Source organism: Homo sapiens, chromosome 16 (assembly GCF_000001405.40).
Source record: "Homo sapiens chromosome 16, GRCh38.p14 Primary Assembly".
Classification (NCBI taxonomy): Eukaryota; Metazoa; Chordata; class Mammalia; order Primates; family Hominidae; genus Homo; species Homo sapiens.
The window spans coordinates 74,479,078-74,491,660 of NC_000016.10; the positions used below are offsets into that span (position 1 = coordinate 74,479,078).

Sequence of the window (12,583 nt, forward strand, 5' to 3'; positions counted from 1 at the left end):
AGCCAGGCATGACGGCAGGCACCCGTAATCCCAGCTACTCGGGAGGCTGAGGCAGGAGAATCACTTGAGCCAGGAGGAAGAGGTTGCAGTGAGCCAAGATCACACCACTGCACTCCAGCCTGGGGTGCAGTGAGACACATTCAAGAGTGAGGCTTTGTCTCAAAAAAAAAAAAAAAAAAGGTTAATTTTATGTTATGTGAATTTCACCTCAATTTAAAAAAAAAAAGAAAAGAAAACCAGCACCACAGACTCCAACTCTTTCTTATTTAAAAGAGAATAAACCTCCTACCCCCTAGTCACTATAGTGACCAGAAAGATGCCGGGATGTGGGAGCCCCCATGGTTAATGAGAGGCTCATTATATGGAGAGAAAAAAAAAAAAAAAACAAATTCCCACGTTTTCTCACACAGCAGTATAAACACTGGGTTAGGGAGCAGCAACTGATGTATGCCATTTCCTTCTGAGTCCCCTCATTCTGGATTTGAGATAGCCAGGCTTTTGCATTAAGCTCAGAAGGGGTATTTCTAAGGATGGATGAGAAGTGATACCATCTCAACTCTCCGGAACAAAGGCAGGACTGATAATGGAGCATCTCAGAAGGTAGAGAAAGCCATCGTGGAGAACAAGTGCATGTCAGTGCGCACCGGGAAGCAGCCGATGCTGCCGAGACCCCAGCACACACAAACATCCCAACAAAAAGCAGCAGTTGGGGCAGACAAATACCAAGAGACTGAGGTATGGAGGTTTCTGCTCCAACCAGTCCATGGGCAGACAATGCAAATGTGTTCAGCTGCCAAGAGGAGAAGCCTAAAATCCATTTGTAGCCTGGCTAAAAGCTTCTAATGGATCCTTAAACCTAAATAAAGTTAGGACAGCAGAATTTAACTGTCCATTTGTGATTCAGATTTTGGGAATTAAAAAAAAAAATCTGGAAATCTTCCCCCACCCACTTTGTTAAAAACATAAAATCAGATGATAGAAGCTGGTAGGGCAACTCTAAGTGCACTCACGGAAGGAAGAAGTTTCTAGAAGTGCAGCAATCTTCTCCCCACAAAATAGTCTAAAAAGTTTTCCTAATATGACTGAAATCAGAAGAATATACAGCAAACAATTTAAAAAACAAATGACAAGAAGAAGAAATGAAGTCGATATTCACTGCATACCCTCCTTCCCTGTTCCTCAGTGCGGTAGGCGTGTCTGTATAAACAAGAGAACACAGCTCCCTGAGGCATAAATTCACTGGTCTCATTCCAACCGTGGGTGTGGCAAAGACGAGAAGCGTCTCCCTGGCACTTGCGGTACAGGACAGGGTCCAGCCTATAAGGTTAAGAGTTAAAAGATAACCACTAATTAATAGACATTTCCTTCTAACACAGGCTCAGGGTTTTTATGAGGTGTTTGCTTGTATACTCATTGATAATCACTTCCAGGGGCGTGGAGACAGAAGATATGTAAAAGTATATTCCTGAATTTTGTTCTTTTGTTTTTTTTTTTTGACACAGGATCTCTCAATCTGTCACCCAGGCTGGAGTGCAGTGGTGCTATCTTGACTCACTGGAACCTCCGTCCCCCGGGGCTTGAAGGCAATCCTCCCACCTCAGCCTCCCAAGCAGTTGAGGCAACAGGCACACACCAGGCTCTTTTTTGATATTTTTGGTAGAACAGAGTCTCGCCATGTTGTCCAGGCAGGTCTCAAACTCCTGAGCTCAAGCAATCAGCCTGCCTTGGCCTCTCAAAGTGCTGGGATTACAGGCATAAGGCACTGCACCCAGCCGTGAATTTTGTTCTTAATGAACACACAGTAGTCAGCACTGTGGGAGGCCTAGGCAGGAGAATAACTTTCTATAGAAGTTTGTTAACCTTCTACAGAAGATTTAAAGTCTCTCTCAAAGATATCTTGGCTTTGTTAGATACCTAACATTTTAATAGACAGCACTCACATGCCCTGGGTGAAAACAGAAAACTAGAGTTATAGCCACCACCAGGCAATTCACAACTTTTTACTTAATACTTTTTACTAAATACCTTTTTCTAAGTAGGAATGAAGTTCAATCCTATGTAATGTATTAGATTCAGTAAGATCAGGAAATGGCAAGATAAATAGTCTCCTATTCAGTTTTCTCTCTTCTTCCTGTGCCAGGTAAGGTGGTTATCTTTTTGGTTACTTGAGTGTGCTTATCAATTTATGAGACTTGACATTTAACTCTGAATCTGGAGACAGTGGATTAGACAATGAGCCTGCTTCTTCTCCACATCAGACCAGGGCATGCTTAATTCTGTCCATATTATATTGTCAACTTTGGTAGATGGCTAGTTAATGGGAGAAAAAAGCTAATATTTAATGAGTAACTATTAAGAACTAATATTTAATGAGTAACTATGCAGCACTTTTTTTTTTATTATGGGGGAAGGAATTAAAGAGGAGAAAACGTGATTTTGATTAAGGCAATACACTCAGTAGACTATTTAGGTTGAGATGGCCTGAGTAAGCAAAGGGAAATTACAGCCCAGCTTTCTGTAGTCCTTTCCAGAGCTAATCTGAAGGAATAGAAATAAGAATATATTGAATCTTCAAGTAATCTCTTTCTAGAAAAAGTATGTGGGCAAAACACATGCACACACACACGTCTTTTGAGATAGGGTCTCACCGTTAACATGCAGTGGCATGATCACAGCTCACTGTAACCTACAGCTCCTGGGCTCAAGTGAATCTCCTTTTTTTTTTGAGACGGAGTCTCGCTCTGTCTCCCAGGCTGGAGGGCAGTGGCGCGATATCGGCTCAGGGCAACCTCCGCCTCCCGGGTTTTACACCATTCTCCTGCCTCAGCCTCCCGAGTAGCTGGGACTACAGGCATGCACCACCTACGCCCGGCTAATTTTTTTTGTATTTTTAGTAGAGATGGGGTTTCACCGTGTTAGCCAGGATGGTCTCGAACTCCTGCCCTTGTTCTCCTCCCACCTCGGACTCCCAAAGTGCTGGGATTACAGGCGTGAGCCACCGCGCCCGGTTCAAGTGAATCTCCTGCTTCAGCCTCTCAGGTAGCTAGGACTACAGGTGCACACTACCATACCTGGCTGATTTTTTTTTAGTTTTTATAGAGACAAGGTCTTGCTATGTTGACCAGGCTGGCCTTAAACTCCTGGCCTCAAGCTATCCCCCTGCCTAGGCCTCCCAAACTGCTGGGATTATAGGTGTGAGCCACTGTGCCTGGCCAAAATATATATTAATCACCAAAAAAAATTAACTACCACACCATGGTGGCTTAACAACCGAATGGAGAAGCCACTGAACTTGAAAAGCTAGAGAAGCAGTTGGATCCAGCACTGGCTGCTTTGGAGGTGGGGAGAGAAAGCAAGATGCGGAAAGAGGAGGGGAATGACAGCCAATGAACTCAGTGATTCTGGCTGTAATACGGATCCTTCTCCTAGTTCATCCTCCCACCCCCACCGCTTTTTGTTAACAGAATGAGAGGGAAATTAGATAATCAAGTTGTCACTTATTGACAAAAACCCCTTAAGACAGACTTAATTCAGTAACTCTGAATAAATAAATAAAAGCCAATTACCATATCCACTGCAAATCAATAAAAATACAACTGCACTATTATCTTCTTAGAGACATATCTGAAGGCGCTTTTGCCACCCCCACAGGTGCCATACTTCTTACTAGACAGATCTTTGTAGTATCAGAAACATTTTGACCCTGACTTCCAAAGTCGTGGTGAACAAGGATGTGTGGTACAGGCTGGTAGTGGGCTGACTCTGCTTTTAGATAATGTTCTGAAAGTGATAAAGAATAGTTTTTCAGGGGATTGGAGTGTGTTAGCTGTCCCAGAACTGAACAAAAAGAGTTTCCTACTGATTATTTTAATAAATACAGGTAATTATGACTACACAGGAGAAGAGGCTGAGGCAATACATTTACTTTGGCTTCAAAATACTCACTTCCAATCCCGGGAGATGAAATACTGCAGCTCTAAGAGACGGTGTTCACAGTCTTCTACCATCTTCTCTGTGTATAAATGTTCCATCAGGCACGACAAGATCCTAGCCATTAAATGTGTAAAATTGTAACAAGAGAGAAGTGTTCAGAACTCTATGTCAATATAGTATTTCCCTGGTCTGTAGAAGGCGGCTTTTAGTTATTTTCTTAGGGCAATCAGATTTATTTTTCTAAGAATCACTCAAATTAACTGAACCTGACAGTGGTTATACCTTCGATCAACTTCAGAGCCACTCAGCACTGAAGACTATGCATGCACAAGGGCAGTGTGCAGCTGCTGTATTTTTAACTGGTTATGAAAACTTTCCAACACACAAAGAAGTAGAGAATAATGTAACAGCCACCTTCCCTCCCCATAACTTTATCAATCTGTGGCCAAGTCTGTTTTAACTCTAGGCCTCTTTGCTGATATTTTAAAGCAAAATCCCAGATACTCCATCATTTCATTTGTAAATATTTCAGCATGTTTCTTTAAAATATAAGGACTTAATACCATTATCACACCACTAAGCAATTATTTTAAAAGCTTTACTATCATGTAATACCCTGTTAGTTTTCAAATATTTTCCTTTCTTTTCTTTTCTTTTTTTTTTTTTGAGATGGAGTCTCGCTCTGTCGCCCAGGCTGGAGTGCAGTGGCGCAACCTTGGCTCACGCAAGCTCCGCCTCCCAGGTTCACACCATTCTCCTGCCTCAGCCTCCCGAGTAGCTGGGACTACAGGCACCCACCACCACGCCCGGCTAATTTTTTTTGTATTTTTAGTAGAGATGGGGTTTCACTGTGTTAGCCAGGATGGTCTCGATCTCCTGACCTCGTGATCTGCCCGCCTCGGCCTCCCAAAGTGCTGGGATTACAGGCGTGAGCCACCGTGCCCGGCCCAGATATTTTCAATTATCTTTTTTTTTCACAAGTTTGTTCAAATCAGGATCCAGAAAAGGTTAACTGATAAGTATCTTAAATGTATTTTCATCTGTAGCAGTTCTTCCTTCTTCCCTCTCCCCTGCCCCCTCTTTGCTTGATGTGGTTATTTTTACACTGTAAATATTCCTAATTAGTTTAACCACACAGAAAGCTTTGAGGAAGAATATGATTTTCTAATTCTCTAGCACAGCATGAACAGCAGGAGTTCTTGCATAGCAGCATGAGATAAACATGGACTATACTCACTTTGTTGTTGGGTATGGCCAAATGCAGGCTATAAAGATTTTTGCAGAATGGGAAAGCTGCTCTTACTTGCAACTGTTTTTTTTTGTTTTTGTTTTTGTTTTTTTTGAGATCGAGTTTTCCTCGTTGCCCAGGCTGGAATGCAATGGCACGATCTTGGCTTCACCTGCCTCAGACTCCCGAGTAACTGGGATTACAGGTATGCGCCACCAACACCCCACTAATTTTGTATTTTTGGCCGGGCGTGGTGGCTCACACCTGTAATCCCAACACTTTGGGAGGCCGAGGCGGGTGGGTCATGAGGTCAGGAGTTCAAGACCAGCCTAACCAACATGGTAAAACCCTGTCTCTACTAAAAACACAAAAATTAGCTGGGCATGGTGTCATGTGCCTGCAATCCCAGCTACTCGGGAGGCTGAGCCAGGAGAACTGCTTGAACTGGGATCCGGGAGGCAGAGGCAGCACTAAGCGAGATTGCGCCACTGTACTCCAGCCTGGGCTACAGAGCAAGATTCTGTCTAAAAATAAAAATAAAAATAAATTGTATTTTTAGTAGAGACGGGGTTTCTCCATGTTGGTTAGAGGCTCATCTCGAACTCTGGACCTCACGTGATCCGCCAGCCTCAGCCTCCCAAGGTGCTGGGATTACAGGTGTGAGCCACCACGCCTGGCTTGGTTTGGTTTTTTGAGACAGGGTTTTGCTCTGTCATCTGGGCTGGAGTGCAGTGGTATGATCATAACTCACTGTAACCTTGAACTCCTGGGCTCAAGCAATCTTCCCACATCAACCTCCCAAGGGGATGGGACTACAGGCATGCACCACCACGCCAGCTGATTTTAAAAACTTTTATGTTGCCTTGCTATATTGCCCAGGCTGGTTTCAAACTCGTAGCTTCAAGTGATCCTCTCACCTCGGCCTCCCAAAGCACTACAATTACAGGCATGAGCTACTGCATCCGGCCATGGTTTAAGAGCTGTTTTTACATCATAAAAAATAAAACTAAAGAATGAGAATACTTTAATATAGCATTTATTCAGCTTTTCTAGATCTTGGTTGCAACTTTAGTATTCATTTTGTCCATTACTACTCCCTTCAACTACCACATTTTGTTTTCTATTTCTATTTTCTGTTTCAAGTATTTTCTGATGATTACCAGGTAGTCAATGTATACAATGAGTCAATATACAACTAGGATGAAAAGTACAGAGTGCCAAAGTATGTACCACCTATCCTGAGTGTTTCTCTCTTTCATTTTAATTTGATCGTGATATAAAATTATTCAGTAACCTAATATATAGGTCCATATATGCTCAGTCATTGTCCGTAAACACCATCACAATATTGGGTCTAGGTGTCTCTATATCATGGATGAGGCAGATCCTAGGTTTTCATTCCAATACTAGTTTTAATAAAAGTTGGTGTATGTTCAACTTGTTCAACAAAATTTCAGTTAAGATGTCAACAACCACCCAAAAGTCATTTGAAGGAATGTTCCCTGTGCTGCCAAATGAAATACAATATGGATAAATACCATGGAGAAGATAACTTACATTGGGTCTCCAGATCTTATATGTTTGCAGGCTGTCTGGATTACAGATTCACAAGCTTCATTCAAAGCTCGATCAATGCGGTAATCTGCACCAGGGTCAGTCTCCTGAATCAGTGTTTGAAGCTGAATTAAAATAAATTAAGAAGGAAGAAAGAAAGTCACTTAGGTGCTAGGTAAGAGCAGTGTCTTCATACATTCAGTTGCTCAGTCCTATTTACCACAATGTACTCCAATAAAGTTGTCTACAGTTGTCACTAGCCAAGCTCAAGAGCATTTGCCAAATACTTTTCCAACTGGTTTCTCTACCTTGACTGCAGGTTTTTCTGTTTGAGTCATTGATGGGGACTGCTTATCTTTGTTCTCAGTAATCCCTGGAGGTCTTTACAACATGAATATGAAGGCTGCCTCTTTGCTTTCATCTGCCTACTTGTTAATCAGATTACTAAACCTGGTGCTCCCGGCAAAGCCAGATTTAAGTGGAAAAGAGTAAATAAAGAACATTTTCACTTAGAGACCTAATTGGGTCATAAGAATCTAGAATTTGAATTTTGCTGCAAAGACACTGGTATTAAGTCAAGTGTGCTGTGCTTTATTAAAAGCAGATGTGCAATTTCATTTAACTTGCAGAAATATCAATTACAAAAAACAGGATTATGGTATTTATAATTTCCCATTTTCCTCAACTATTTTTCTATAACCAAGAGGTAAACCAGAGCTTGCTCATTCTAAGTACATAGAAAAATACTTGTCATTATGCAGCTGGAAATGAGACTATATTCTTTATCATTTACTTTTCCATCTTGTCATGGAACAAAGGAAAGACAGGAGAATAGGTACTTCACATTTTTTTTCCTGCCTTTAAGGCACTTGGGGCATAGATGAAAAAGCTCTAAATTAAAATCAAAAGAACTGAGTTCTATTAATAGTTCTGGCTCTGACAGATTAGCTTTGAGAACATGGACAAATTGATTACCTCTAAGTTTTAGTTTCTTTAACTGCAGAAAATTGTAAGAAATAATAATATATGGGAGAATATTAGGTAAACTGCAAAGCATTTTACAGACATGAAAGATGATTATTACTACAGATAAGTAGCAGATGGTGTTTTGGGGTAGAAATCTTTTTTTTTTCCCCCCCGAGACAGAGTTTCGCTCTGTCACCCAGGCTGGAGTGCAGTGGCATGATCTCTGCTCACTGCAACCTCCACTTCCCGGGTTCAAGTGATTCTCCTGCCTCAGCCTCCTAAGTAGCTGGGACTACGGGCATGTACCACCACTCCCGGCTAACTTTTGTATTTTTAGTGGGGATGAGGTTTCGCCACGTTGGCCAGGCTGGTCTTGAACTCAAGTGATCCGCCCACCTCGAACTCCCAAAGTGCTGGGATTACAGGCGTAAGCCACCACACCCAGACCTGGGGTAGAAATCTTTAATAATAGAAAGCGAATTTGAAAACTATAATCCTTACTGGTTTGCGTTCCCTTTTGCCAAGTTAAAAAACTGGAACCCTGTTGTGTCACTGATTTGTCCTCTGATCCTTATACATCTAACCTATGATCCCACAGGGCCTTCACTGGAGCACCTGTGGGATCATAGGTTAGATCACAAATTTATCAGAGAACCATAATCAAAAGGAAATAAAGGAAAAAACCACAAACTTCTATTATCCTGAAAGAAGCTGGTAATCCAGAAGAGAGAAACATGAAAGATTTCCAATATTCTACGATAGAAGTTATTTATACCAAAAATTATTGGTGGCAATTTGGGAAACCTACAAAATGCTGTGGTTAGCTGGTAGGAAAATTACTATCGAATGATTACCAATGTTACTTATGACATTTGTTGACAAAGACCAAAGCATTTACATCTTTTTCTGAGAAAAGTTGGAAGCAACATGGGAGTCTGCAAGTCTCTGCAAGAACTGTATCAGTTAAATATCCATGACTGACAGGCAAACGTCAAGAAACAATACATGCACTAGACTGCAAATATTTACAGGCGAAAATGAATGCCCTCTAGAGCCTAGTGGGCTAACAGCTCCAGGGATCATTATCATTGCCACTCTGGAATTTAGTGACAGTAGCGTGGGAAATAAACACTGAAAATGTGAACTGCTACATGATTATACACCTATTCCAGCCCCTGGCATGCCTAGGAAAACCTGGGAAAATGCTTCAGAGAGATGACTAGAGAATAAGACTGGCAGTTATCTTTGGCCTAGGAGAGCCTGGGCCCACACTTACTCAGCCATGAACGAAGAGAATTTCACAGTTCATGATTATGGTGCATTTGGGAGAGTAAGTACTGAACAAGATGATAATTATGCTTACGCTTTACAGCTTACTACCTGCTGAGAAATCACTAAATCAATCACCAAGCAGAGAACAGGGAAAACTAATGGTCAACCACAGACAGGTATGGAAGTCTGCTGTATTAGGAAGAAAAATTTGAAAAAGAAAGAAAAAAGGGGCCAGGAACAGTGGCTCATGCCTGTAATCCCAGCAGTTTGGGAGGCCAAAACGGGCAGACTGCTTGAGCCCAGTAGTTTGAGAACAGCCTGGGCAACACGGCGAGACCCCATCACTTAAAAAACAAAACAACAAAAAAGAAATAAAAATAAGCTCCCCCAAAATGAATTACTTTAAAACATTCGTCAATTTGACTGGGGATGGCTACTGTAGTAGAACACTAAGGACATTTTTCTCCCTTTGGATCATTTAGGCCTTCAATTTTTGTGGGCAAAAGCTAAAAACCCTGGGTCCATAAAAATAAAAATAAAGCGCTTCTTCCCTACTTGGCTAAATTTATTTTTTATTTTATTTTAATGTTTTAATTTTTTATTTTTTGAGGTGGAGTCTTGCTCTATTGCCCAGGCTGGAGTGCAGTAGTGTGATCTCAGCTTACTGTAACCTCTGCTTCCCAGGTTCAAGCGATTCTCCTACCTCAGCCTCCCGAGTAGCTGGGACTACAGGTGCATGCCACCACGCCCGGCTAATTTCGTATTTTTCATAGAGACTGAGTTTCACCATGTTGGCCAGGCTGGTCATGAACTCCTGACCTCAAGTGATCTGCCTGCCTTGGCCTCCCAAAGTTCTGGGATTACAGGTGTGAGCCACCATGCCCAGCCTCACTTGGCTAAATTTAATATGGGCAAAACCATATGTTTCACTACTTGAAGCCACCCTCTAGATTTGGAAAGTACTTTTCTTCTGGACACACAGGGTGATGTGGGAAGTACTTATGTATCTTTCAAGCTGAGTCACTAGTTCTTTCAACAAGCTACATTTTAAAAAGCCCTGGGTGTGAATTAGGTGCCTCGAAATAAAGTCAAACCAGTCTATTTTCTTTTTTCTGTATCCCTTACTACAAGTGTAGCCTCAGTAAAAAGACAGGTTTAGGCCGGGCATGGTGGCTTACACCTGTAATCCCAGCACTTTGGGAGGCTGAGGCGGGAAGATCACCTGAGGTCCAGAGTTTGAGACCAGCCTAGCCAACATGATGAAACCCCATCTCTACTAAAAATACAAAAATTAGCTGGGTGTGGTGGTGGGCAACTGTAATCCCAGCTACTCAGGAGGTTGAGGCAGGAGAATCATTTGAACCCGGGAGGTGGATGCTGCTATGAGCAGAGGTTGCGCCATTACACTCCAGCCTGGGCAACAAGAGTGAGACTCTGTCTCAAAAAAAAAAAAGGTAGGTTCATTCCTAACCCCCGCCACAACAACCTTTCTGTGCTGCTTTAAGGATGAAGTGCAAATATAGGCTGTCTCCTGATTCATTTTTGGTCTGGGTCCCAGGACCCACACTGGCACAGAGGTTTCCCAAGGAAGTCACCAGTAACAACTGCACCCTAGAAACAACACTGTGGCAAAATCAAACGGCAGATTCCAGAAGCCTTCCCTCCTGCCCAGGTTGGTATTTTAAAGAAGTTACATTTGTCTGTTTTCCCACCATGGGATGCATAGACACGCATGCGTGCGCACACACACACACAGACACACGTGCACACATGCACTGGTGTCTACTCTGGGTCAAGGTGAGTAACTAAAGCTAAGACATAATTTTACTCCACATCCAAATTCTGTAAAACTGTTGTGTTTCAGACCGCAAAGTTTTGTTTCAGACTGTAAAAATCTGATTTTACACGATTATCAGGAAAATAAAATTCGAGTTGATATCCAGTTTTTAATAAAAATGCTAACTATAAAATAATAGACTGATTGTGGCTTTCTAAAGTTACACTGAGGGAGGAGAGCCTCAAGTTTCTACTATTCTAGGATATAAAGCGAAACTATCTCTTGTGCTCCCCAAAGGAAAGTTCACTGCACAGGGCACACTGGTGCACATGGTACGTTAAGTTGCTCTAAGACTCCTATCCAGTAAAAAGTAATCAACATGGACAACAGGAATGAAAGGGATGTACTAAATCTCTAATACATTAACTTGTGTTTTGTACCTGACCTACAGTTATTCAACTGTTTATAAACGCTAGATCAAGAAGAACTTTATCTCCCCAAGCAAAGTATGCTAACTGTGAGGTTTAGTGATAGAAAAAGGACTCCCACCATGGCACACGTTTACCCATGTAACAAACCTGCACATGTATCCTGGAACTTAACATTAAATTAAATTAAAAAGAAAATGGCTCTTCCATGCATAGTTGCCCTAGTATATGAAGAAAAGATAGTGTGATTTCAAAAATGACATGCTCTCTTGATCCTTCAGGCCAGGAATTCATGCCATGCGGTAAATTAGTAACAGAAAAAATTTAGAAACTTAGAAAAAATTTCAATTCATATCAACTCTTTTTCAGCCTCAACTCAATCAAATCTATTACAACAGGCAAATTCTCTCTTGGTAGAGGGCCTGTCGTCATTGATTGGAACCTGGTTTGCCTTGATTCTGAGTTTAGGAAATCCAGTCTAGCAAGCTGCCCTTTCTTTAGGAACTCTAGCAAATAATGCATTCTATCTATCTAAGAAGACAATTCTTTTTATTGATTATGAGCTCAAACTTTTGCTCTGTAGCAAATGTCACATTCTTACTAAGATATGCCTGAAGAAGCAACGTTCAGTCTCTGATCATTAGTACCTAATGTTCAATGTGATACCACAGATGATCCATATAAAGCAAGGTGGGACAGCATCAGGAAGAGGCTCTTCAGCTGATAAATGTGACATTCAAAATGGCAATAGCAATGTCTCCTTACCGCCTGCTGGCAGTTCATTCCAAGGTTCCCCTTCTCCCCTCGAACTACTTTCATCAGACAGTGTAGGGTCCGCCCTTTTCGATGTAATCCGGAACAATGGTGTTCAATCTCCCCCCGACAGCTTAGGATGATCTCAGGGCTCAGAGAAAAGTCTTCCATCAACATGCGTCGGTAATCCAGCATCTCCCCCTGGCACTCACTGCTGACTTGTCGCCCTAAGTTAGGATGTAAGTCATAACATTACGAAGGGTGATGCTATGTATTAGCATCAGAAATCACCACCTATTAAAAGTACATATTTCTATCTGTAATACAATATACCTATCAGACATGCTAACATCTGAAAAGTTTAGAATTAGCAAAAGCTTTAGCAGCATAAAATAGGCTTAGACTCCAGATATTCAGGCTTCTCCTGTCACTGTTCTGCATGAAACAGGTTTTATACTACTGCACTAATAATGCAAATGCTTTGCCCATGGAAATCCTATCAATAAGATAACTATTAGGGTAAAAATGAAAGCCAAAGAACAATCTCCATTGGCCTACACAATTAAAGCTTTTAGAAAAGACTACATTTAAGATATTCACTATAAGCTCCCCCAACTTCTTTGAGCTGTAAATGCCAATGGGGAAAACTTTTTTTTTTTTTTTTTTTTGAGA

At 41.6% G+C, this 12,583-nt stretch overlaps 1 protein-coding gene across 5 annotated transcripts in view, besides 1 other annotated feature; it reads right to left on the reverse strand.

Moving 5' to 3' along the window:
* GLG1 (golgi glycoprotein 1) overlaps positions 1–12,583 on the reverse strand; it is a 159,675-nt gene that overhangs the window by 31,638 nt on the left and 115,454 nt on the right. For 4 of the 5 annotated variants that reach the window (NR_027264.2, NM_001145666.2, NM_012201.6 and 1 more), the window contains 4 exons: positions 11,924–12,138; positions 6,719–6,840; positions 3,946–4,047; positions 1,164–1,317 (listed from right to left, as the gene is read on the reverse strand). Coding sequence is in view for 3 of the 5 variants with exons in the window: in NM_001145666.2 (NP_001139138.1) it covers positions 1,164–1,317; positions 3,946–4,047; positions 6,719–6,840; positions 11,924–12,138 (593 nt within the window). In the remaining 2 variants the exon portion in view is untranslated. The remainder of the gene's footprint in view (positions 1–1,163; positions 1,318–3,945; positions 4,048–6,718; positions 6,841–11,923; positions 12,139–12,583) is intronic. The other variant, NR_027265.2, reaches the window with a different exon arrangement.
* Positions 6,786–7,338: an enhancer, noted in NCBI's record as "NANOG hESC enhancer chr16:74519761-74520313 (GRCh37/hg19 assembly coordinates)". NCBI's record gives its function as "activates a minimal SCP1, AML or CMV promoter by ChIP-STARR-seq in primed H9 embryonic stem cells {active_cell/tissue: H9 hESC(primed)}" and the evidence as "EXISTENCE:reporter gene assay evidence [ECO:0000049][PMID:30033119]".